Source organism: Homo sapiens, chromosome 1, assembly GCF_000001405.40.
Source record: "Homo sapiens chromosome 1, GRCh38.p14 Primary Assembly".
Taxonomy (NCBI): Eukaryota; Metazoa; Chordata; class Mammalia; order Primates; family Hominidae; genus Homo; species Homo sapiens.
In genome coordinates this window covers 220,056,134-220,083,241 of record NC_000001.11, presented here as the reverse complement: position 1 = coordinate 220,083,241, position 27,108 = coordinate 220,056,134, and the positions used below count along the sequence as shown (strand labels likewise).

At 40.2% G+C, this 27,108-nt stretch overlaps 1 protein-coding gene across 18 annotated transcripts in view, besides 1 other annotated feature; it reads left to right on the top strand.

Annotated features, from left to right (window-relative positions):
- Positions 1-25,760, top strand: part of BPNT1 (3'(2'), 5'-bisphosphate nucleotidase 1) — a 32,307-nt gene extending 6,547 nt beyond the window's left edge. For 2 of the 18 annotated variants that reach the window (XM_005272998.4, XM_005272999.6), the window contains exons 2-10: positions 3,388-3,515; positions 9,171-9,275; positions 10,285-10,392; positions 13,810-13,858; positions 15,849-15,940; positions 17,125-17,169; positions 20,288-20,485; positions 23,451-23,556; positions 24,250-25,760. In XM_005272998.4, the coding sequence (XP_005273055.1) occupies positions 3,396-3,515; positions 9,171-9,275; positions 10,285-10,392; positions 13,810-13,858; positions 15,849-15,940; positions 17,125-17,169; positions 20,288-20,485; positions 23,451-23,556; positions 24,250-24,398 (972 nt within the window). In that variant the 5' untranslated portion in view covers positions 3,388-3,395 and the 3' untranslated portion in view covers positions 24,399-25,760. Of the gene's footprint in view, positions 1-3,387; positions 3,516-9,170; positions 9,276-10,284; positions 10,393-13,809; positions 13,859-15,848; positions 15,941-17,124; positions 17,170-18,826; positions 19,560-20,287; positions 20,486-23,450; positions 23,557-24,249 lie in introns of those variants that run through there. The other 16 variants (XM_006711114.4, XM_047429467.1, NM_006085.6 and 13 more) reach the window with 10 other exon arrangements.
- Positions 23,281-23,450: an enhancer, noted in NCBI's record as "experimental_4904 CRE fragment used in MPRA reporter constructs". NCBI's record gives its function as "activates a minimal promoter by MPRAs in K562 erythroleukemia cells, with activity observed for both the introgressed and non-introgressed 1:220233219 variant alleles {active_cell/tissue: K562}" and the evidence as "EXISTENCE:reporter gene assay evidence [ECO:0000049][PMID:34662402]".
- Positions 25,761-27,108: the final 1,348 nt, after the last annotated feature.

The window sequence follows — 27,108 nt, the reverse complement described above, 5'->3', positions numbered from 1 at the left end:
TTTTTGAGATGGAGTCTTGCTCTGTCGCCCAGGCTGGAGTGCACTGGCACGATCTCGGCCCACTGCAATCTACACCTCCTGGGTTCATGTGATTCTCCTGCCTCAGCCTCCTGAGTAGCTGGGATTACAGGTGCATGCCACCACGCCCGGCTAATTTTTGTATTTTTAGTAGACACGGGGTTTCACCATGTTAGTCTGGCTGGTCTCGAACTCCTGACCTAGTGATCTGCCCACCTCGGCCTCCCAAAGTGCTGGGATTACAGGCGTGAGCCACTGTGCCCGGCCATAAATTTCAATTCCATCTTCCTTTTGAAGAGTTTCAAACACTTCACTTATTGTTCCAGTTAGGTTCATAATTCCTGTCAATAGAGTGTGGATGATAGAAACAAGATGTAAAGGAGGCTGGGCAGGTGGATCTTCTGAGGTCAGGAGTACAAGACCAGCCTGGCCAACATGGTGAATCCCCGTCTCTACTAACAATACAAAAATTAGCTGGGCGTGGTGTCAGTTGCCTGTGATCTCAGCTACTCGGGAGGCTGAAGCACAAGAATCACTTGAGCCTGGGAGACAGAGGTTGCAGCGAGCCAAGATTGTGCCACTGCACTCCAGCCTGGGTGACAGAGTGAGACTACGTCTCAGAAAAAAAAAAGAAAAAAGATGTTAAAGGGGTTAAAACATCAAATCAAATATTCAGTCAGAAAGTCATGGTAGAACAATGACTATTGCTGAATGGAGGTTTATAATGTTCTCTATAGTCCCAGGGCTGAGCGTGGTGGCTCAGGCATGTAATCCCAGCACTTTGGGAGGCCAAGGTGGGTGGATCACTTGAGGTCAGGAATTCGAAACCAGCCTGGCCAACATGGTGAAACCCCGTCTCTACTAAAAATACAAAAATTAGCCGAGTGTGGTAGCAGGCACCTATAATCCCAGCTACTCACGAGGCTGAGGCAGGAGAATTGCTTGAACCCAGGAGGCAGAGTTTGCAGTGAGCTGAGATTGCGCCACTGCACTCCAGCCTGGGCGACAGAGCAAGACTCTGTCTCAAAATATATATATATATAAAAAATATAAAATATATATAAAATACATATATATCATATATATTTTATATATATATACACTCTCTCTCTCTCTCTCTCTCTCTCTCTCTCTCTCTATATATATATATATATATATATTGTCCTTGGAACAATCATGTGTTCCCTTATTGCGATGAAATAATGTTGATTTGATTTAGAGGTGGGAAGTTTTTGTCACAGGTTAATTCCCCATAAAACTCTAAGACAGAGATAAAGTGGAAGAGGTTTATTAGGGAGTGCTTTCGGAATCATTTGTGGAAGGGAAGGGGAGGAAGGGAAGAAAGTTGGAGAAGGTATCTTGGGCTGTGATGCAGTCTCAGCTAAGGCCTCAGTTGACCCCATAGGGTATTCTGGAAGCTAGATGGCCCTTCAGTGCTGGGGTGGTAGCCCACTTGGGGTAGGAAATGGCCTTTAAATCTCCCTATTGTGACGTTTCAGGTGAAGTGATCCTTCTCAGCAGATATACTCCCAAAGAAAGATGGCAGCTGAAAGCCATCTTTTGACAGCTGTCTCAGCAAGTGGGGAAATAAGCTCTTCAGTTCTGAAGGGAATGTGGGTGGTACATCCAGGACAGTCACGAAAATTTCGGGATTTGAATTCATATTTTCTTTTTTTTTTTTGAGACGGACTCTCGCTCTATCGCCCAGGCTAGAGTGCAGTGGTGCGATCTCTGCTCACTGCAGCCTCTGCGTCCCAGGTTCAAGCGATTCTCCTGCCTTAGCCTCCCGAGTAGCTGGGATTACAGGTGTGCAACACCATGCCCAGCTAATTTTTGTATTTTTAGTAGAGACGAGGTTTCACCATGTTGGTCAGGCTGGTCTCAAACTCCTGACCTCAGGTGAGCTGCCCATCTCGGCCTCCCAAAATCCTGGGATTACAGGCGTTAGTCACCGTGCCCGGCCTGAATTCATATGTTCAAAGGAATGTACAGGCCAGATACAGTGGCTCACGCCTGTAATCCCAGCACTTGGGAGGCCAAGGGGGGGGATCACGAGGTCAGGAGTTCAAAACCAGCCTGGCCAAGATGATGCAACCCCGTGTCCACTAAAAATAAAAATTAGCCGAGCATGGTGGTGGGCGCCTGTAATCCCAGCTACTTGGGAGGCTGAGGCAGAGGTTGCAGTGAGCCAAGATGGCGCCACTGCAATCCATCCTGGGCGACAGAGCGAGACTCCGTCTCAAAAAAAGGAAAAGGCAACGTACTTGATTCTAAAGGCTGTTTTTTCCGTTTATTTCATTGGCGCTAGAGACTTCTGACACTCCTTACTTTTCCAAGTGACTGGTCTTCATTATAATTTGTTAGGTTGCTTGTTCTCTTTATCTGGCTACTGACGAAGATGGAGGTAAATAATAGCAGAGAATATTCATTGATTTTCAGAAAATAATTGTAGTTATATGCAATCCCTCTGATGTGGTGAGGCTTTGTTTCCCCACCCAAATCTCATCTTAAATTGTAATCCTCATAATCCCCATGTGTCAAGGGAGAGACCAGGTGGAGGTAACTGAATCATGGGGGCAGTGATAGTGAGTAAGTTCTCATGAGATCTAATGGTTTTTAAGGGACTCTCCCGCTTCGCTTGGCTCTTCTTCCTGCCACCTTGTGAAGAAGGTGTCTTGCTTCCCCCTTTGTCTTCTGCCATGATTGTTAAGTTTCCTTAGGCCTCCCCACCCATGCTGAACTGTGAGTCAATTCAACCTCTTTCCTTTATATTAGGTTGGTGCAGAAGTAATTGCGGTTCTTGCCACTGGAAATAATAAATTACCCAGTCTTGGGTCATTCTTTATAGCTGTATGAAAATGGACTAATACACCCTCCCTTTTTAATTACACCCTACACACCTACATCCCTTATACTATTCATACCTCTTTTGGCGCTGCCTAGTTTTATGTTATAGACGTTAGGTTACCTTATTTTATCTACAACTCACCAAAATATTAGCTCCTCAAACACAAATCTTACATCTCATATTTTTAGCCTACAAAGCACCTTCCACATACTTTACACATCACCCACGACCTCATACACAAACTTTTTCACATGCTCAGCATCCTGGGCCAGTTTCTCCTATGCTTTGACATGTCTCATCTGCAGAGAGACATAAAAAATACAGAATTTATTGAGAGAGTTAATGCCCAAATCGAGTTTTTTCGAAGTCTCTTTTAGTAAATATATATTAAAGAATTTACTCAGTTAATGGGAGCAATCCCAAGTTAGCACTCAATTAATATGTGTTGAGTTGGATTTAAATAAATAAAACCAGTAGTTGGCTTTGAAACTAACAAGACATTTTTCTTGATCTCTTTTTAGAGTGTACCATGGCTTCCAGTAACACTGTGTTGATGCGGTTGGTAGCCTCCGCATATTCTATTGCTCAAAAGGCAGGAATGATAGTCAGACGTGTTATTGCTGAAGGAGACCTGGGTATTGTGGAGAAGGTACTCAAACTCTCATATCATTTCATACCAACTTGATTTTTGTTCTTGAGGTTTAGCTAAATGATATAAAAATGTGGACAGACTTTATCAGTTAAAATAATTGATGGCTCCCTTAGGGAGACTGCAAGACGCTTGGTTCTAAAGGGTTCCATCTCTGCTTTGAAAATGATTCCAAGGCCGGGCGTGGTGGCTCATGCCTGTAATCCCAGTACTTTGGGAGACCGAGGCAGGCGGATGATGAGGTCAGGAGTTTGAGACCAGCCTGGCCAACATGGTGAAATCCCATCTCTACTAAAGATACAAAAAATTAGCCAGGCGTGGTGGCGAGCGCCTGTAATCCCAGCTACTTGGGAGGCTGAGGCAGGAGAATCGCTTGAACCCGGGAGGCAGAGGTTGCAGTGAGCCGAGATTGCGCCATTGCACTCCAGCCTGGGCAACAGGGCGAGACTCCATCTCAAAAAAAGAAAAAAAAAAAAGACTCCAGACTTTCTACGTCCAAGATCTTTATTTATATGTCTGAGTCTTCTGAACCATATCTATCCCCAAGGCATTGTAACCGAGCTTCAAATCCTAGAGTAATCTATTACATGCAGTGCCATGCAATCCTTAGTGAACTCAACATGTTCGGTAAAATCTGGCATTTACATAAATATTTGTTATAATCAAAGTGATACATTCTTTTCTTCCTCATGGAAAAGAAACTCAAAGCAAGCGTGTTTTTCCCAGTATAGTAATTACAAACTTAAATAGATTATCAGAAAGTTTATAGTGATAGTCAATTCTTAAAAGAAATACCACCATGTTTGTGTTCCAGTTTAAAGCACAATCTTCTGACCGGGTGCGGTGGCTCACGCCTTAATCCTAGCACTTTGGGAGGCCAAGGCGGGCAGATCACGAGGTCAGGAGTTCAAGACCAGTCTGACCAACATGATGAAACCCCATCTCCACTAAAAATACAAAAATTAGCTGGGCATGGTGGTGCACACCTATACTCACAGCTACTCAGGAGGCTGAGGCAGGAGAATTACTTGAATCTGGGAGAGCGAGGTTGCAGTGAGCTGAGATCACACCATTGCACTCCAGCCTGGGCAACAAAAGCAAGACTACATCTCAAAAAAATATATATATATATGTGTGTTATTATATACATATATAATATATATTATATTTATATATAATTATAATATATATAATGTAATATAATTATATATAATTATATTATATAAAATTTATTATAAATTATTATTTATTATAAATTATTTATTATTTATATATAAGTATAATTATTATATATAATTATTATTTATTATTATAAATTATTATTTATATATAATTATAATAATTCTATATAATTAATAGTTATATTTGTTATTATAAATTATTATTAATTATATATTATATGTTATATATATTATATATATATAAATCTTCCTTGGGATTTGGTAATTACTTCACATTACAAATTTTACACGTAAGTTTTCATATATTGACTTTTAATCCTTAAATTCTTTATTATAATCTTTTTTTTTTTTTTTTTTTAAAGAGACAAGGTCTCACTCACATTGTTGCCCAATGCTGGAGTGCAGTGGCACAGTCCTACTGATAGCTTGTTGCAGCCTCAAGCTCTGGGCTCAAAGGACCCTCTTGGCTTAGCCTCCTGAGTAGTTAGGACTACAGGCAAGCGCCACGACACCTAGCTAATGTTTTTATTTTGTGGAGATGGGGTTTCAGTATATTGCCCAGGCTGGTCTCAAACTCCTGGCTTCAAGTGATCCACCCACCTTAGACTCCCAAGGTGCTGAGATTATGGGTGTGAGTACAGGTATGAGCCATTACACTTCGCCTAAATCTTTCTTTATTATAGCCTTTAAGGAAAAGTGTATTGTAATTTCTTCCAAGTGAGAACATTAATAGGATATGATTTATCATTAGCACTTTAACGATTTAAAATAGAGTGAGTTAAGTCACTCACTTATGAGTGATATATCTATCTAGGGTTGTTACCATAAGAAAAAATGAGATATATGAGTAAAAAACAACTTAGAAAAAAGTTGACGTGAGTTCACTTTTTGAACTCACGTTCAAAAGTTGAATGTAAAACATTCAATGTAATTGCTTTTAAAAAGTTAATGTAAAAATCAGCCTGGGCAACATAGCAAGACCCCATCTGACATGGTGGGACATGCTTGTAGTCCTAGCTTGGGAAGCTGAAGTGGGATAATTGCTTGAGCCCAGGAGTTTGAGGCTGCAGTGACCTGTGATCCCACCACTGTACTCCAGCCTGGGCAACAGAGTAAAACCCTGTCTCTAAAATAAATAAATAATATTAAAAAAAAAAATTCATAAGAACAAATGAAATAAATCTCATTTCCTTTTTTGATAGATTTATGGGCCTGCTCATAGAGGAAATAGAGGGTATCTTGATTTAAGCAAAACATTTTTTATAGTCTGTCATTTTCTATTTAAGAAAATATTCAAGTTATTTTTAGTTATATAGACAACATCTCCCATCCTGAGCCATGATTAGGTGCATTCATAACTGGATGAATAACATTATCCACAAATTTAAATTCATGAGTCATTTTCATCCTGGAAAAGGATCACTGTTGGCTGATCACAGGACTCTGCTCCTGACATTGTACTGTTCTCTTTAATCATTAAATAACATACAGTTTTAAAAAATATGGAATGTGTTAGCTGAAGTGGAAGATGATATAGAAAACATGCTTATCAAATTTGTCAATAAGAGAAAGCTGAGCGGGCTAGTTCATGCATTTGATCACAGAATAAGTATTCAAAATAGTTGCAACCTCTGAGAAAAGTGGACCAAATCCAACAGGATATAACAGGAATAATATAAAGCGCTGTATTCATGTTCAAGTTATGTAAGATAAATCTGATTCAAATTTGTTTGAAAAAGAGATTTTAGTTGACTACAGACATGCTTGGTAATAACCAACGAAATAATACTGCTGCTTTCAGAGGGCTACTACTATTATTATTATTATTATTATTATTATTATTAATTTATTTTTTTTTTTAAGAAGGAGTTTCACTCTTGTTGCCCAGGCTGGAGTGCAATGGCGTTATCTCAGCTCACCGCAGCCTCTGCCTCCCAGGTTCAAGCGATTCTCCTGCCTCAGCCTCCTGGGTAGCTGGGATTACAGGCATGTGCCACCACATCCAGCTAATTTTGTATTTTTTTGCCTTTTTTTTTTTTTTTTTTGAGATGGAGTCTTGCTCTGTCACCCAGGCTGGAGTACAGTGGCATGATCTTGGCTCACTACAAGCTCTGCCTCCCAGGTTCATGCCGTTTTCCTGCCTCAGCCTCCCGAGTAGCTGGGACTACAGGCGCCCGCCACCACACCCAGCTAATTTTTTTGTATTTTTAGTAGAGATAGGGTTCCACCATGTTAGCCAGATGGTCTCAAACTCCTGACCTCGGCATCCGCCCACCTCAGCCTCCCAAAATGCTGGGATTACAGGCATGAGCCACCACGCCTGGGCTAATTTTGTATTTTTAGTAGAGGCAGGGTTTCTCCATGTTGGTCAGGCTGGTCTCGAACTCCTGACCTTGTGATCTACCTGCCTCGGCCTCCCAAAGTGCTCGGATTACAGGCATGAGCCACTGCGCCCAGCCCCTAATCTCATTTTTTATAAAGTTTTTTTTATTATGAAAAGTAGGAAATGGAGAAAAATGCCAAAATAAACAAAAATCATCCATCATGCCACCATTGCCAATATTTTGAATTATTTCCTTTCAGATCCTTTTCCTTAACATCACTTATTTTAAGTTGATCTTATGTTGAGGTTATATTAGACATACAATTTTGAAACCCAGGTAGCTAAAAAGGAACAGAGATGTAATGCTAAGTCGGGAAAAAAGGTAACATTCTCATTGTCTTCTGTAGTGCTCAGGCATTTCTAGTACTTTATATCCTTCCGTTGATACCTTATTTTTAAAAAAACAGCAAAATCAGTTTATCACACAAGGTTCCAATGATGATGTCTGGAACTATGTTGATAGAATAGGAAATATTTATCTTAGCGAGGAAAAGAAAATTGATTTCCTCACATAGTGGAATGGCTTTCAATGTGTCTTTTTTTTCTCTACCGCAGTGGTCTACAAACTTGATTGGTATTTAACTAATCTTCAAACTCAACAATTCTTTTGAGTAGGTTCATTCAAAAGATACTTATAGAGCACCTACTGTGTGCTAGGCACAGTTCTTTAGGGAATAAAATCCTTTTGTGGAGCTTACATTCTAGCAGAATAGTACTTTGCATTGAGATATACAGCAAATCTCAGTGAGGCATAAAACAGTTGCTTTTCATAATGACTTCTTATCTCATTGCAAAGTATTGTTAAAATTCTACTAAGATGAGGCTGGGTGCACTGGCTCACACCTGTAATCCCAGCACTTTGGGAGCCCGAGGTGGGCGGATCATGAGGTCAGGAGTTTGAGACCAGCCTGGCCAATATGGTGAAACCCCATCTCTACTAAAAATACAAAAATTAGCCAGGCATGGTGGGGGACACCTGCAGTCCCAGCTACTCAGGAGGCTGAGGCAGGAGAATTGCTTGAAGCAGAGAGGCAAAGGTTGCAGTGAGCTGAGATCGCGCCACTGCACTCCAGCCTAGGCGACAGAGTGAGACTCCGTCTCAAAACAAACAAACAAACAAACAAATTCTACTAAGATGATATAATCTGTAAATCTACTTAACCAGGCATATATAAATTGCAACATATCATAAGGCTCTGAAAGCAAACTAACAAAGGAGGTTGTGGTTGTCACTTGCAAAACTTTTCTCTTTCACTAGCATGAGTATCTGACATATTGATTGAGTGAGGGTGCCATAGGTGAGCTATATGTTAAATATTACAGCAGTTCATATTCGTGTTTTTTAGATTTTTAGAAACAGGATTTCTTAGGCCGGGCATGGTGGCTCATGCCTGTAATCTCAGCATTTTGGGAGGTCAAGGCGGGTGGATCACAAGATCAGGAGATCAAGACCATCCTGGCCAACATGGTGAATCCCTGTCTCTACTAAGATACAAAAAATTAGCCGGGCATGGTGGCACGTGCCTGTAGTCCCAGCTACTTGGGAGGCTGAGGCAGGGGAATTGCTTGAACCCAGGAGGCAGAGTTTGCAGTGAGCTAAGATCGTGCCACCGTACTCCAGCCCAGTGACAGAGCAAGACTCTGTCTCAAAAAAAAAAACAAATAGGATTTCTTACTCTGTACCTGTGAATCAACTTGAGGACCTGTTGAATTATTATGATTAGGATTAGTGTGGAAGTTATAGAAAGATCCACGGAACACTTTTCTAATAACTATTAACTTTGCCTTGAAAAGTTATACATTTCCTATCTCTTAACCTATTTAAGCAAAAGGTTGATGTCTAGAGATAAGGAATTTCTAAACTAGGGAAGAAAATGTTCTGGATTATTTAAAAGCTCCTTTCCAAACTTTACCCACTATTAATCCTTTGAGAAAAACCAAGGCAAGAAACCAGTTAACTCATTTGGTGTTAAGTTCTATGACTCTAAAAACTGACAGTGTAATCTAAATTATGTAGGCACTCATGCACAAGGAATCAGAGGACAACTTATTTTTCATTAGCTCTGCTAAAATTTGCATTCTTTATTACAGACCTGTGCAACAGACCTGCAGACCAAAGCTGACCGATTGGCACAGATGAGCATATGTTCTTCATTGGCCCGGAAATTCCCCAAACTCACAATTATAGGGGAAGAGGTAAGCGTCATCAGAGACATTTTTTTAAAATCTCTGTTTACCAAATGGATTTATAACTGACACTTTAATGATTTATATACCACTATTATGATTTTAAGCATTATATTTATTGTTTTAAACACAAAAGTAATTATTGTATTCCTTGGACTTGGGGAAAATATCTGATTTTAAGACATTTTGGTCTATTTCTAAGCCAGTTGTCTTAATTATTGACCATAGAAGATATGGTTACTGTTATACCCAGCATACAAACTGTAAGATGGGCAGAGATCTAGAACTTTGGAATAAAATGGGTTTCGTTGTTGTTTGTTTTTAAAATTAGGCTTATTTGCATACTTATCCAAAGACTATAACACTTTGAAAATGAGGGAATTAGGCCAGGCGCAGTGGCTCACGCCTGTAATACCAGCACTTTGGGAGGCTGAGGCGGGCGAATCACGAGGTCAGGAGTTCAAGACCAGCCTGACCAACATGGTGAAACTGAACCCTGTCTCTACTAAAAATACAAAAATTAGCCAGGCTTGGTGGTGAATGCCTGTAATCCCAGCTACTCAGGAGGCTGAGGAAGGAGAACTGCTTGACCCCAGGATGGGGAGGTTGCAGTGAGCTGAGATGGTGTCCCTGCACTCCAGCCTGGGCAACAGAGCAAGACTCCGTCTCAAAAAAAAAAAATAAAAAAAGAAAGTGAGGGAACTGACATCTCATGTAATACAAGGGAACTATCTGCTGTCAGAGACACTTGTTTAAATGAGTGTATAATACTTAAAAATTCTTTTCTTTTTAAACTCTCTTCAGTATAATGACACTGGAACCATTTAGTCAATTTTGATGAGCCACATATGGTTGTTTTTGCAAATTTTTAAGGTTTGCTTTAAAAGCTCTAAATATAAATGGTAAACCAGAAGAACTAGTGAAAACTGTGATGCTGCATTTCTTCTGTTAATGAGACAAAGCATACTCTGTAAACACTAAACAGCTTCAGTAACCATTAGGGTTATCTCTGCTTTAGGATCTGCCTTCTGAGGAAGTGGATCAAGAGCTGATTGAAGACAGTCAGTGGGAAGAAATACTGAAGCAACCATGCCCATCGCAGTACAGTGCTATTAAAGAAGAAGATGTATGACCCATATTTATACTCAACTCTCTATTAACCTGGGCTTTTTGCCATAGTAAAGGAAATAATATTTGCATGTAAGATGAAAAATTGGTAGTTATAAAATAGGGGCAACCAGAAACTTGATATCTTTCAGAGCCAACATGGAAGTATCAGGCAACCATATGGATTTAGAGTTCAGTTTCTCATCCTATGGGTTTCCTTTGCACTCTAAAACCGTTATTTAAAATACTTTTAGGGACAGGCATGGTGGCTCACACCTGTAATCCCAGCACTCTGGGAGGCCGAGGTGGTTGGATTGCTTGAGTCTAGGAGTTCGAGACCAGACTCGGCAACATGGTGAAACTCTGTCTCAACAAAAAATACAAAAATTAGCCAGGTATGGTGGTGCACACTTATAGTCTCAGCTACTTGGGAGGTTGAGATGGGAGGATCACCTGAGCCCATGGAGGTTGAGGCTGCAACCAGCACCATCTCTTTTTTTTTTTTCTGAGACGGAGTCTCGCTCTGTCACCAGGCTGGAGTACAGGGCCGCGATCTTGGCTCACCACAACCTCCACCTCCTGGGTTCAGGCGATTCTCCTGCCTCAGCCTCCCAAGTAGCTAGGACTACAGGCGCGCACCACCATGCCCAGCTAATTTTTTTGTATTTTTAGTAGAGATGGGGTTTCACCATGTTGGCCAGAATGGTCTTGATCTCTTGACCTCGTGATCCGCCTACCTCAGCCTCCCAAAGTGCTGGGATTACAGGCTTGAGCCACCTTACCTGGCCCCAGCACCATCTCTTAAAGAGATTATTTTTTCCCCAGTTGAATGGCCCTGGCACACTTGTGAAAAATCAGCAGGCCATAGATGTATAGGTTTCACGCTGGCCATGGTGGCTCACGCCTATAATCCCAGCACTTTGGGAGGCTGAGGCGGGCAGATCACCTGAGGTCGAGAGTTCAAGACCAGCCTGACCAACATGGAGAATCCCCGTCTCTTCTAAAAATACAAAATTAGCTGGGCGTGGTGGCACATGCCTGTAATCCCAGTTACTCAGGAGGCTGAGGCAGGAGAATTGCTTGAACCTGGGAGGCGGAGGTTACAGTGAGCCGAGATTGCGCCATTGCACTCCAGTCTGGGTGACAAGAGCAAAACTTAGTCTCAAAAAGAAGAAAAAAGAAAAGAAATAGATGTATGGGTTTCATTATGGACTCTCAGTTATATTCTATTGGTCTATATGTCTATCCTTATGCCAGTACCACACTTTCTTGCTTTGCATTAAGTTTTGCAATTGGGAAGTGTAAGTTGTCCTACTTTGTTCCTACCTTGTGCAGTTTTACATGTACCTTACAGCCTGGACAGCAGAGTGAGACCCTGTCTCATTAAATAAATAAATAAATACTTTTAGGAAGAAAATCTAATTTGTTATTTAGTAGATATGTAGTAGATTTGCTAGTAAAACATTCATTGGTAATTGGGGATAGAAGGCTATGAAACAGGTTGCTACCTTATATTTTTAGAAGAACATAAATGTCATCCTGCTTGCTTTTTATAGTTGCTTAAGTTAAACCTGTGACTTCAGATAGCCACCATAATGTCTTTAGTTTTCCAATTTTTAATTATTTAAGGCATATTCATTGGAGACTTACTATGAATAAGACACTTTGCTCTGTGGTATGGAGGAAACAAAGAAAATGAGACATGGTGGGGCTGGGCATGGTGGCTCACGCCTGTAATCTCAGCACTTTAGGAGGCCGAGGCAGGCGGATCACGAGGTCAGGAGATCGAGACCAACCTCCGCCTCCCAGGTTCAAGCAATTCTCCTGCCTCAGCCTCCTGAGTAACTGGGATTACAGGCATGTGCCACCACGCCCAGCTAATTTTGTATTTTTAGAAGAGACGGGGATTCTCCATGTTGGTCAGGCTGGTCTTGAACTCTCGACCTCAGGTGATCTGCCCGCCTCAGCCTCCCAAAGTGCTGGGATTATAGGCGTGAGCCACCATGACCAGCGTGAAACCTATACATCTATGGCCTGCTGATTTTTCACAAGTGTGCCAGGGCCATTCAACTGGGGAAAAAATAATCTCTTTAAGAGATGGTGCTGGGGCCAGGTAAGGTGGCTCAAGCCTGTAATCCCAGCACTTTGGGAGGCTGAGGTAGGCGGATCACGAGGTCAAGAGATCAAGACCATTCTGGCCAACATGGTGAAACCCCATCTCTACTAAAAATACAAAAAAATTAGCTGGGCATGGTGGTGCGCGCCTGTAGTCCTAGCTACTTGGGAGGCTGAGGCAGGAGAATCGCCTGAATCCGCTAACACGGTGAAACCCTATCTCTACTAAAAATACAAAAAATTAGCTGGGTGTGGTGGCAGGCGCCTGTAGTCCCAGCTACTTGGGAGGCTGAGGCAGGAGAATGGCATGAACCCGGGAGGCAGAGGTTGCAGTGAGCCGAGATCGCGCCACTGCACTCCAGCCTGGGTGACAGAGTGAGACTCTGTCTCAAAAAAAGCAAAAAAGAAAAGAAAGTGAGACATGGTGTTCTCCATCAGAAACATGCCCTCACTCAGAAATTCACATAATGTTATCATTGTAGTGGTTAAAGGCAGCATATCCTGAATCATATTAAATGTCCTAAACAGAAGGAATTTTCCTTTTAAATCTGCTGCCAGTTTTATTATTCATTTTTCTTTGGATTGTATGGACTGTGTCCTTAAGATAATCAGACTTGTTTTTTTAAAATCAGCACTTATATATAAAAATGAGTAGCAACTGTGCTTGTTCAAAACATTTTTTTGCCACTTTACAAGTTTTTCCTGTACCATGATCTAGAGATCAGTATATTCATTGTGCTTAGTGTTCAAATGACAACAAACTTTTATCAGTTAAGCATTTCATGTTGAAAATCATTTTTTTGTATTTTTTTTTTTTGAGATGGAGTTTTGCTCTTGTCATCCAGGCTGGAGTGCAATGGCACGATCTCTGCTCACTGCTACCTCCGCCTCCTGAGTTCAAGTGATTCTCCTGCCTCAGCCTACTGAGTAGCTGGGATTACAGCCACCCACCACCACGCCCGGCTAATTTTTGTATTTTTAGTAGAGATGGGGTTTCACCACTTTGGCCGGGCTGGTCTCGAACTCCTGACTTCAGGTGATCCACCCGCCTCGGCCTCTCAAAGTGCGGGATTACAGGTGTGAGCCACCGTGCTTGGCCTGAAAATTCTTAAATCAGACTTTTTTCTTATTCAAATGGACTTTTTCCATGATTACAAAAGAATAAGCTTTTTGTACTATCTCAAAACAGATGACATTAATTTAAGCCATCCATAATACAATTTCAAACAGGAAAAAAAGAGTAATTTTAATCTATTTAAATCTATTTTTAGAATTTTGTGTGCTTGATTTAGATATTTTCCTTCTCTCTTTTTAATTTTAGCTCGTGGTCTGGGTTGATCCTCTGGATGGAACCAAGGAATATACCGAAGGTTGATATCTCTTTTGTATTCATATTTGACAGTAGTGGGACAAGGATATGATGTTAGTTGTAAATATTTGATATTTTGTATGTTGTATGGAAAGCTACTATCATGTGTTATGTTTACCCCTAAAGCTATATTTGTGCTCATGGTTATCATACATCGTTGATTGTTAAGACAGGAGAATAAAATTCATCTCCTTCAAATACCACCCCCCACATACTCCACCAGCCCCACACTTCTAATGTCTCCCAGATGAGAATAACATATTAAACCAGTGTTACCAAAATGACTATACTGAACCCAGCTTTATTGGGGTAGAAAAACGATAACGAGTACAACTGTGTAGCTCTTGCTCTGCCACCACCACCATCCCATGCCCTCCCCATTCACTCTCCCCTAATCTGTGAACTGCTTTCACATTTCATAGCCTCACCTTCTAAAGGTGGGTTTTGAAACACAGTACAATATTTCTCCTTATCTAAGATGAGAACAATTAGAGAGCAACAAATTAAAATAAAATTGGCCATATAAATGTAGGAATGAACAAGCTCAGAGCCAGAGTTTTAGGTTTTGTTTTTTCTATTAGACAGTCTTGCTCATTGCCCAGGCTAGAGTGCAGTGGCACCATCTCGGCTCACTGCAACCTCTGCCTCCCAGGTTCAAGCTGTTCTCCTGCCTCACCTCCCAAGTAGCGGGGATTACAGGCACCTGCCACCACGCCCAGCTAATTTTTGTATTTTTAGGAGAGATGGGGTTTCACCATGTTGGTCAGGCTGGTCTTGAACTCCTGACCTCAGGTGATCCACTCACCTGGGCCTCCCAAAGTGCTGGGATTACAGGTGTGAGCCACCGCACCTGGTAGGTTTTAGGTTTTAAGCTTAGAGTTTTATTTTTAAACTTAAGATCTAGGCCAGGCGTGGTGGCTTATGCCTGTAATCCCAGCACTTTGGGAGGCCGAGGTGGGCAGATAATTAGGTCGGAAGTTCAAGACCAGCCTGGCCAACATGGTGAAACACCTTCTCTCCTAAAAATACAAAAATTAGCTGGGCCTGGTGGCACACGTCTGTAATCCCAGCTACTTGTGGGGCTGAGGCAGGAGAATTGCTTGAATCCAGAAGACAGAGGTTGCAGTGAGCTGAGATCATGCCACTGCACTCCAGCCTGGGTGACAGAGCAAGACTCTGTTTCAAAAAAAGAAAATAAGAATAATAATGATGATGATGATGATAAAATTAAATTAAGGTCTACATAAATTTTCTTGTATTGGCTCTCAGGACATGGCTTAAAAAATTTATCATAATTACTAGAAAAAAACTATTTTACTGTTCTTGAATGAGACATCGCTATAATGGGTGAATCACAGTGTGTGTATACATGTGTATGTATGTGTGTGTGCTGAAAACATCTGTAGAACCCATTGTGAAATAAGGAAGCTCTAGACAACTTTAATGTGTATAAAAGCACCTAGAAAGCTTATTTAGGTCTTGTCCCCCACTCTCAGATTTTGATTCACTAGTTCTGGGAAGGAGCCTGAGAAGATCTGTATTATAAAAAGTACATCAGTTAATTCTAATGCTGCTTGATAGTCCTTGGGCCTCCCTTTGAGAAACTCTGTTTTAAAGGCTTGAAATACAAGTCTAGAGTGTAATCCAGGAATATAAAGTGATTCGGCAGGTAAGGATGAGTTGGATGATGGTGGAAGAGGCACAGAGGAATCTGATGATGATGGCTGCAAAATTATGGCTGCTTTATTTAGTTGGTTTACACATTGTACTAATGAGACCATGATAGCCAATTCAATTAAGTGGCCATAGATCCTATGGCTGTTTCTGGCCAGCTTATCATTTATGCCTTTCACTATAAATAGGATTGATCACGGATGAATCATTGCAAATTCCATACCTTAACTGCAAAACTAACTTGGAGCAATTGATGTAGTAATGATGAGTCATAATATGAGCAAGTTATATAACTGATATTTATTTCTTCTTTGCAGGTCTTCTTGACAATGTAACAGTTCTTATTGGAATTGCTTATGAAGGAAAAGCCATAGCAGGAGTTATTAACCAGCCATATTACAACTATGAGGTATTACTATAAATGATACAAAGTAATTTCATTAGATAAATAATTATAGTGTTATCTGATTCTTTATGTTACCTAAGCAAGTGGTTTTTAGCTTGGTTGCATATGCAATCATCTGGGGAACTTTTCATTTTTTAAATTTTATTTATTTATTTATTTATTTTTAACTTTTTTTTTAGCTATGCTATTAACTGATGAGAAACCTTTAAAAATACGGATTCCCAGGCCATACCCCAGACCTACTGAATCAAAATCGCTGGGGGCATTGGTACTGGGTATGTATATATATGCATGTGTATGTACACAGACCCACTAAATGCATTATATATTTTTTAATTTATTCCTTATGATTCAAATATAAATGTTGAGAGAATTACTGATAGGGTTCTTGATTAGCTTGGGCATCAAGACACCTGATTTATGATTGGTTCCTGAAGCACATTCAAGAAATGAACCATTTCAACTAAGAAAAGATGCTAGGCCTGTTGTTTTCCAGGTAACGCTGTGTAGCGCCTAAGTTACAGTCAGTGTTGGTAACAGAACGTACTATGCTCTTGCATTCTTTTTTCTTGTCTCTTCTAATCTGCTTTGATTTTCTATTATACATCAGATAAATTGCCTTCCATAGAAGCAAGGGACTAGTGTAATTTCAAAGCAAGAATTTACCATTAAATTGCATTAAATTGTATAGGAAATTGTTGAGATAAAGTAGTTAAGGTATTTATATTAATGTGACCTTGATAGAACTTTAGAGAAACAAAGTAATCAGAGTGGGCAATACTACTTCTGAATTTCCACTCTGAGTTAAAAGCAAGGTTAAGCTTTATTTCTAATATAAATTTGTTTTTTCCTGCTGTTTGTATGATTATAAATTATATTAAGAATCGTGTTTCTTAGGATTTACCAAAAGAGTTATATGTTATTGAGAAAGTCTCTGGGGTTAAATTGCTTGTGTCTATTAATTCTTTAAATATGATTTTAATGTTGATACTGTTATATACAGACATAAGTTTGTGGTTTTTATGTAAACTTTAAGTTAATACTATTACTTTCAAAAGGGGCATTTAATTCATATAAAGCATTGTAATGCACGGTACCTTTCATCAAGAAAAAATCTAAGTGCTTAGGAGTTAATAATTTTCACCACTTCTTTCTGAGATTAGAAAAATTGTATTCATTTTCCACAGAACAATGAAAAACAGCAGTTAAGGGAACACAGGAATGAAGCAAAGGTGAGAAAAATAGCTAGGGTTTTGGCTCCACTAGTAGGTAGAAAAGAAGCAGGCAACTTGTGGTACCCCAGGTGGTCATTGTACATCCCACATACCAGTTCATTTTCTCCAGTTCTGCTTCTCTTCATTACCTCTCTCTGTACCACTTCCCTTCTGGACACTCTGTTTATCCTTTCTCTTGCTTCTCTTGCTTATGCCTTAAAATTCATTACCACAAATGGAAGTAGAAAAGTTGCTCAGCTGTGTTGGTGGTATTCAGGCTAAAGATTCAATTTTAAATAATAATCATCATCACCATAATAGCTAAAATTTATTAAGAGTTTACTGTATGCTGCCAGGTTCAAGGGTTTCAAATGTATCCTTTCATTGAATACTAACCACAGCCCTTTAAATAAACTATTATCCCCATTTTAAAGAGGAAACTGAGGCAATTAACTTTCCTGTGGTCACCCAGCTGGTAAATGGCAGAACTGAGATTCAAACTCAAATCCAAACCTTGCTACTGTATTACTTTATATTGCCCTCCTGAGCCAGAGAAAAGACTTAGCAATTCAAACTTTATTATTGCTTCCAACATATACTGAAACTAGTAGACACTTAAAGGAAATAGCATGAAGAAACTCAGTCTATCTTCATACTGAAGCCAGTTTCTTAACCATTGAAGCTTAATTGTCAGAAAATTTTCGCCTTTATTACCCTCCCAAAATTGGTGTGGAGCCTTTGAAAGAGAGAGACAATGCCAGAGCCTGAGAGTCAGGAGCACAGAAGAAGGCAAGCCAGCTGCATCATGGGATTGCATTTACCACACCAAGACACCAGAGTCCTTGATCCCATCCTTTTTGCCTAGATGTTCATTTACAGAGGCAATATGACCTTGTAGGGCCCAAAATATTCGTGTCCACTGTTTTCTTTCCTTTATTTTTTTCCAGAATAACTGGAGAACTGCATTAATAAATAGGTTTCTTGGTTGGGCGTGGTGGCTCACGCCTGTAATCCCAGCACTTTGGGAGGCCAAGGCAGGTGGATCACAAGGTCAGGAGTTCGAGGCCAGCCTGACCAACATGGTGAAACCCCTGTCTCTACTAAAAAAATACAAAATTAGCCGGACATGGTGGCATGCACCTATAATCCCAGCTACTCAGGAGGCTGAGGCAAGAGAATTGCTTGAACCCAGGAGGCAGAGTTTGCAGTGAGCCGAGATCGCACCACTGCACTCCAGCCTGGGCGACACAGTAAGACTCTGTCTCAAAAAAATAAAAATAAAAAAATAAATAGCTTCCTTAGATTCCAAGCCTCTCCTGTAGTGTAAACTCAGATGGGAACAGAGGAAGCACATTAACATATACTGAGTACCCAGTGCTTGTTCTTTGGCTCCTTTGTTGCCCCATATGCCATCAGACTCTTCTGGGATTGCCCTACCAATGGAGAGCTGTCTCACCTAGGACCACCCCTCTTCCCAATGCAGTCCATTTCCAGTGACTGATTATTGCAGGAGTTTAAAGACCTGACATCTCATCCCAATTTGGGACTACCCTGAAAGGCTATTGTAGCTCCAGACTCCCCGCATAGGAACAGCTCCCCGTAGGGTCAGCTCTTGCTGTACCTGCATCACAGCTTATTTCTTCCCTCTGCCCACACCCTCCTCCTCCTTCCACAGGTGTTGATACCAAGCGCACTTCCTAACAAACATACCACCTGCCTCAGAGTCTGCTTCCCAGGGAACCCAACCTGCGACCTAAGTATATTTCACAATAACAACACCCAGGGTACTGCTCTAGGACAAATAAGATGATGTGTGTGAAAACATTTGACAGGTAAACATAGGCAGTCTAATTTAGTGTTTAAGAATATCATCTTTGAAGACAGATGAGCCAATCTTTGGTTGTGAACTTCTTAGAACCTTTAGTCAGGTTACTTAATGGTTCCACATTTCATTTTTCTAATCTTTAAATTAAGGATGAGAATACCTACTTCATGGGGGTGCTTTGAGGATTGAAAGAGAGATAATACATGTAAAGCACTTAGAATGGTGCCTGGTACATGTTTGGTGTTCAGTACAATATGTATATCTCTATAATATATGTCTACTATATTAATATAATTGTATTTTGATGACTTTGCATCAATCATTTTATGTATCAGTTTTACTTTCCATGAAATACAGATTTTTTTTCTATATCAAGTGTATAGTTATAACAATGTAGTTGAAATTGAGTTCTGCAAAGGAAAATATAGATTCTAAGATTGCATTATCATTGTCATTTTGCTGTTAAAATTGTCAGCAAAATCTTAACTCTGATCCCATTATCCATGGCTACTCTTCAATATTGTATTGGCCTATTCAGTTGCCCTATCTCCATAGCAGCCAAATACATTGTCATCATTACCTATTCCTGTAGCAACATGATTTTTAATATTTCTTGGATAATGAAAAGTAGTTATCAATACATGGTATTTCATTTCCTGGGGATCTTAGTACCTTCTGAAAATGGCCATTTTCAAATACAACAAAGAGATCATTAGATAATTCAGAGAAACAGTAATCAGTTTATGATGTTTCAGCACATTATAAACAGAAATCAGTTTATAAGGATTCCAGGGAATAACCAAAAGTTCTTTGAAACTGTTAACCAGAACAGTAATGATAATAATCAGCAGATTCTCTCAGGAGAAGTTCTTTGCCAGTGATATTGTTCTTGTACTTTATAACATTATCATGTTTTTTGAGACGGAGTCTTGCCCTGTCGCCCAGACTGGAGTGTAGTGGCGTGATCTTGGCTCACTGCAACCTCCACCTCCCAGGTTCACGCCATTCTCCTGCCTCAGCCTCCCAAGTAGCTGGGACTACAGGCACCCACCACCATGCCCGGCTAATTTTTTGTATTTTTATTAGAGACGGGGTTTCACCGTGTTAGCCAGGATGGTTTAGATATCCTGACCTCGTGATCCGCCCGCCTCGGCCTCCCAAAGTGCTGGGATTACAGGCATGAGCCACCGCGCCCGGCTATCATGTTTTTATTTTTTAAATCATGATGCTAATATAACTGAATATTCCATTTATGGGCTAACGTTCTTCTCCAAATAACCACAAGTCTTGTTGTTTCACTCGTTTACACAGGCAGGACCAGATGCTGTGTTGGGGAGGACAATCTGGGGAGTTTTAGGTTTAGGCGCCTTTGGGTTTCAGCTGAAAGAAGTCCCTGCTGGGAAACACATTATCACAACTACTCGATCCCATAGCAACAAGTTGGTTACTGACTGTGTTGCTGCTATGAACCCCGATGCTGTGCTGCGAGTAGGAGGAGCAGGAAATAAGGTATGAAAAATGTCTGTCATCTGCTCTGAAGTGCAAGTGAATCATTGAAATACTCAACTTCTAAAAACATGAAATAAGAGTTTAGCCATCCCATTACTGGGTATATACCCAAAGGACTATAAATCATGCTGCTATAAAGACACATGCACACGTATGTTTATTGTGGCACTATTCACAATAGCAAAGACTTGGAACCAACCCAAATGTCCAACAATGATAGACTGGATTAAGAAAATGTGGCACATATACACCATGGAATACTATGCAGCCATAAAAAATGATGAGTTCATGTCCTTTGTAAGGACGTGGATGAAATTGGAAATCATCATTCTCAGTAAACTATCGCAAGGACAAAAAACCAAACACCGCATGTTCTCACTCATAAATGGGAATTGAACAATGAGAACACATGGACACAGGAAGGGGAATGTCACACTCTGGGGACTGTTGTGGGGTGGGGGGAGGGGGGAGGGATAGCATTGGGAGATATACCTAATGCTAGATGACGAGTTAATGGGTGCAGCACACCAGCATGGCACATGTATACATATGTAACTAACCTGCACATTGTGCACATGTACCCTAAAACTTAAAGTATAATAATAAAAAAAAAAGAAATAAGCGTTTAAAGAGATGGGAGTAAAGACTATAATTTGTACATTTCAGCAGCATTTAAATTTTAAAAATAAATTTAAGAATCAAGTTTTTTTTTTTTTTATCTGAGAGAGTTCAATGTTAATGAAAGTCATCAGGATGACTCCATGCTTCTTGCCAAAGACCTTATTTTCCCAAGGACCCTCTTAGATTATTTCCTAGCCCTTCTACAGACTCTAAGATCTGGCCTGCCTGCCCACTTCCTATCTATTTCCCCCATTCTTTCATCCAGGTTTCCAACCTGCTGAGAGAATTATGAAATGGGACACAATTTGATCTACATCCCTAGCCCTGATCTCTTCTCATCTGATTGTCCCCTAGATATCATTATGATGACATCCCTCAGGTATCTCAAATTTAGCGTGTCCAATTTGAGTTCATCCTCTTTCTACCCACCTCTGGATGTGTTTCTCTCCCTGTTTTACTATCCCACTAATGGCACCACCATTTTTCTAACTGATCCAGCCAAACACCTGAAAGTCATCCTAGACTCCTTCCTTCCTCACAGCCTATCACTCTGGTCCTACTTATGTATCTTCTGAATAGTTTTTTGTTTTTTTTTTTTTTTTGAGACGGAGTCTTACTCTGTTGCCCAGGCTGGAGTGCAATGGCACAATCTCGGCTCACTGCAACCTCCACCTCCCGGGTTCAAGCGATTCTCCTGCCTCAGCTTCCTGAGTAGCTGGGATTACAGGCGCCTGCCACCACACCTGGCTAATTTTTGTATTTCTAGAAGAGTCTGAGTTTTATAATAATAATTATTTTACACTATAACCAAAAAAAGTCAATTGACTAATGAAAGTTTGATAGCAGGTTACCATTTAGAGTCATGCAAGTTCTAGCAGTGATCTCAGTTGTGTGTCAGTATTAGAGGAATTGTTAGGATGACTCTATAAAAGTTTGTATTTTGTGGCGCTGCAAAGCTGTTCTTTGTGGGGAAAAATCTGCATCTGTAAAGCATCTCTATTAACATAGCTAGCTCTTTTTCTTTCAGACCCTCCAAATCCTAAACAGATTAACTAAAATCTGATTAGGAAACATTTGTCACCTATTGTATCTAAGGACAGCCACTATAAGACTTCAAAGGAATTTTGGTCTCAACAATCTTTATCTTAATCTGAACATTCTCTTTCTATAGATCCCAGGTCTTTAGACAAACCCAATCAATTGTCAATCAGAAAATACTTAAATTCACCTATATCCTGGAAGCCTCCCCGCCCCCACCGCTTTGAGTTGTTCCACCTTTCTGGACCAAATCAATGTATTTCTTAAATGTATTTGATTGATGTCTCATGCCTCTCTAAAATACATACAACCAAGCTGCTCCCCACTGCCTTGGGCACATGTTCTCAGGACTTCCTGAGGGCTGTGTCATGGGCCATGGTCACTCATATTGGGCTTAGAATAAATCTCTTCAAATATTTTTAAAAAAAAAAGTTTGTATTTTGGTAGTGAAATGGCAATACGTGTGATCCCAAGACTTATGAAAGTATTTGTTAGACTAGTCACATTGCACATCTGTTAGGATCTATTACAATTTATACATTATGGTACTGCTTGATACTTCTCTGTCCTTTATTTAATAATGGTCAGGGTTTTTTTTTGAGGGGAGTGCTTTTGTTTGTTTGAGACAGAGTCTCGCTCTGTCGCCCAGGCTGGAGTGAAGTGGTGCAGTCTTGGCTCACTACAACCTCCACCTCCCAGGTTCAAACGATTCTCGTGCCTCAGCCTCCCAAGTAGCTAGGATTACAGACATGCAACACAACACCCAGCTAATTTTTTGTATTTTTAGTAGAGATGGGTTTTGCTATGTTGGCCACGCTGGTCTCAAACTCCTGGCTGCAAGTGATCCACCTGTCTCAGCCTCCCAAAGTGCTGGCATTACAGGAGTGAGCCACCATGCGCAGCCCTCTAATAAATGGTCAATTTTTTAGATGTTGAAAAAACTTGAATTAATTCTGCTGTAAATGTATATTGCTTTTACACTAAAAAAGAAAAACAACGTGAATAAAAGGAACATGTTACTTTATGTAACTTGGAATATGGAGACAGTTCAGATATCCTCTTTGTAGCTTTTTTGACCATTATTTTTCCTTCATATCACTATATTATTATGCATTTATTCTATGTATTTCTTCATAATACTGGTATAATTTAAACCTGCTAAAAGCTTTAACTAAATTTAACAGAGGAACTGATTAAATGTCCTTGATAGAAACAAGCAGTTTTTCTTATCTGTACCTCAATCTTTTCATGACTTTCAATTATTCTTTCTATTATCAAAGGATAATTCTTATTTTTACCCTTACAGATTATTCAGCTGATTGAAGGCAAAGCCTCTGCTTATGTATTTGCAAGTCCTGGTTGTAAGAAGTGGGATACTTGTGCTCCAGAAGTTATTTTACATGCTGTGGGAGGTTAGTCTGTTTTATTTGAGGAAATTCATAGTTTTTCTACAATTATATCATGCTAAGACATAATATCTCAGTAATATTATTTTACTTAGACTGTTACGATATAAAAGCTAGAAGGCAGCTTAGAGATTATCCAGTCCAAACCCCTCATATGATAGATGGATGAGAGAGCAGATTTTCAGCAAGTTTTACTTTAGTTATCGTCTCTTTTTTTGAACTTTGATCTGCATACAGTTAATTTAATTTAGCCCTTATTTATAGCCTTTTTTTTTTTTTGACACAGGGTCGCTATTGTCTAGGCTGGAATGCAGTGGTGCAATCATGGCTCACTGCACCCTTGAACTCCTGGGCTTGTAGTGAACCGAGGTTGTAGTAACTGAGATTGTGCCATTGCACTCCAGCCTGGGCAAGACTCCATCTCAAAAAAAAAAAAAAAAAAAAAAAAGAAAAGAAAATGCTAAATAAAATTAATATTAATCAGAGAAAAAATAATTTTATATCCTTTAGTTAGTTAAAATTGTTCTGTAGTCTTAAATTTCAAGTGAATTAAAACTTAACCTTTATGGACACTCATTATTTCATCCAGAATTTATTGGCTACTATTGGATAAGGAAGCAAAAGGCACTTAAAAATAACTAGAAAAACCACAATCCAATTAGCCACTAACTTGATTGATTGATTGATGTTTTTCTATAGGCAAGTTAACCGATATCCATGGGAATGTTCTTCAGTACCACAAGGATGTGAAGCATATGAACTCTGCAGGAGTCCTGGCCACACTGAGGAATTATGACTACTATGCAAGCCGAGTTCCAGAATCTATTAAAAATGCACTTGTTCCTTAAAGGAAAGTTTCATTTGGCCGGGCGCGGTGGCTCATGCCTGTAATCCCAGCACTTTGGGAGGCCGAGGCAGGTGGATCACTTGAGCTCAGGAGTTTGAGACCAGCCTGGGCAATATCGTGAGACCCCATCTCTACAAAAATACAAATTAACTGGGCATCCTGTCATGCGCCTGTCATCCCAGCTACTTGAGAGGCTGAAGCAGAAGAATCTCTTGAGCCCGGAAGGCAGAGGTTGCAGTGAGCTGAGATCGTGCCACTGCACTCCAGCCTGAGTGACAGGAGTTAAGCCCTGTCTCAGAAAAAAAAAAAACAAAAACCCAAAAAGTACTTAAAGTTTCATTTACTTAGCTAGGAGAAAGACTTGGTTCTCAAAATAATACATTTTAAGATTAATTGGGTAGAATTAGAGTTCCACCTTTATTCATTGTTGAGCAGTGATTTATATTTAGTTATTATATTTAGGAATAGAAAATAGAATTAAATAATTTAACTTGATTAATCAACCAGACCAATTTTGACGTCTGGAGAACTTATAAACTCAATATGTTATATTTGTTTTCCTGTATTTAGGTGGAGAAATGAGAAAAAGCTTTAGTTCCAATTGACAGTTCAGGTCAATGTTCAATGAACATTCCTATCTTCTAAACCAGATTTCTCTTTTTTTTTCCTGAGACGGAGTCTCGCTCTGTAGCCTAGGCTAGAATGTAGTGGCGTGATCTCGGCTCACTGCAAGCTCCGCCTCCCGGGTTCATGCCATTCTCCTGCCTCAGCCTCCCGAGTAGCTGGGACTGCAGGCACCGCCACCACGCCTGGCTAATTTTTTGTATTTTTAGTAGAGAAGGTGTTTCACCGTGTTAGCCAGGATGGTCTTGATCTCCTGACATCGTGATCTGTCTGCCTCGGACTCCCAAAGTGCTGGGATTACAGGTGTGAGCCACCGCACCTGGCCTAAACCAGATTTCTTTAGGGCACAATTTTTTCTGGAATCTCACTCTTGTTTTTCACAGTAATTTTAAAAACGTTTCTACTCCAATTAAGAATATATATGATGTTATTATATATGCTTATGAAACAGATTTATGAGAAAAGTTTTTTTTAAATAAATTATTTAATCCTAGCTCTTTGTTATTCACCAGCTTTTTAAAAAAGTGTTTGAAAATTATACATTCTCGACTTTGGGGATTAGTTTATTCTTGTGGCATCATTATAAGGCTTAATTGTGGAAAGCTAAGTACTTGCTTCTATTCCTTCCAATGAGAGATTATAACATAAACTATTAAAATTATTCTGCTAATATACCTAGATTTTTATTTTTAGGTCTCTGTCCATTGCTTTTAATTAAAATTATCTGTTTTCAAATCAACAAGTGGTTTAAATTAACAGTTCCCAAACTCAACTGCATATCAGAATCACCTAGGAAGATTCTTTTAAAATGCAGATTCACAGGCCAGGCGCAGTGGCTCATGCCTGTAATCACAGCACTTTGGGAGGCCGAGGCGGGTGGATCGCCTGAGGTCAGGAGTTCGAGACCAGCCTGGCCAACATGGCGAAACCCTGTCTCTCCTAAAAATACGAAAATTAGCCGGGCATGGTGGTGTGTGCCTGTAATCCCAGCTACCAGGGGGCTGAGGCAGGAGGATCACTTGAACCTGGGAGGCAGAGGTTGCAGTGAGCTGAGATCGTGCCACTGCACTCCAGCCTGGGCAACAAAGCGAGACTCTGTCTCAAACAATAAAAATAAAAATTCACAGGGTTTATCCCAACGATTTTGCTTGTGTGTGTGTGTGTGTGTGTGTGTGTGTGTGTGTGTTTATTTACTTATTTATTTATTTATTTTGAGACAGAGTCACTCTCTGTCACCCAGGCCAGAGTGCAGTGGTGCAATCTCGGCTCACTGCAACCTCCACCTCCCGGGCTCAAGCGATTCTCCTGCCTCAGCCTCCTGAGTAGCTGGGACTACAGGCACATGCCACCACCCCTGGCTAATTTTTTGTATTTTTAGTAGAGACGGGGTTTCGCTGTGTTAGCCAGGATGGTCTCGATCTTCTGACCTCATAATCTGCCCACCTTGGCCTCCCAAAGTCCTGGGATTACAAATGTGAGCCACCACGCTCAGCCTGCTTCTGTATATTTTAAGAAATTCAGGGACTGATAATCATTTAACTCTAGGACTCACTAGATAAGGTAATATAGTATTATTTTATAGAAGTGTCATAATCTAGCAGGAAGAGGTCTCTGTGGTCTTGACACCTTTGAGCCCTCCCTCCTGTAAGTCTCTTCTCATTGTCCTGGCTTTCTTTTTTCACCTAGCCACTCCTACTCAGTCTCCTTTATTGCTTTCTCTTTGTCTTCCTTCCCTTAAATGTCACTGTTTACCAAGATTCTGTTCTAGTCTCTCTCCTTTCTTTTTTTTCTTTTTTTGGTAGAGATGGGGTCTTGCTATACAGCCCAGGCTGGTCTTGAACTCCTAGCCTCAAGCAATCCTCCTGCCTCTGTCTCCCAATGTGCTGGGATTATAGGTGTGAGCCACTGCACCTGGACTATGCTTTCTCTCCTTTCTCACCAGAGGATCTAATCCACCTGTGTGACTTTTGTGGCGCTTTTGCTCATTAATCCAAAATCTTTAGCTTAGAACTCTCAAACTCTAGATCTATATACCCCAAAACCTACCTAGATGCCTTACAGAGATGTCTGAATGATTATGTCTAAAC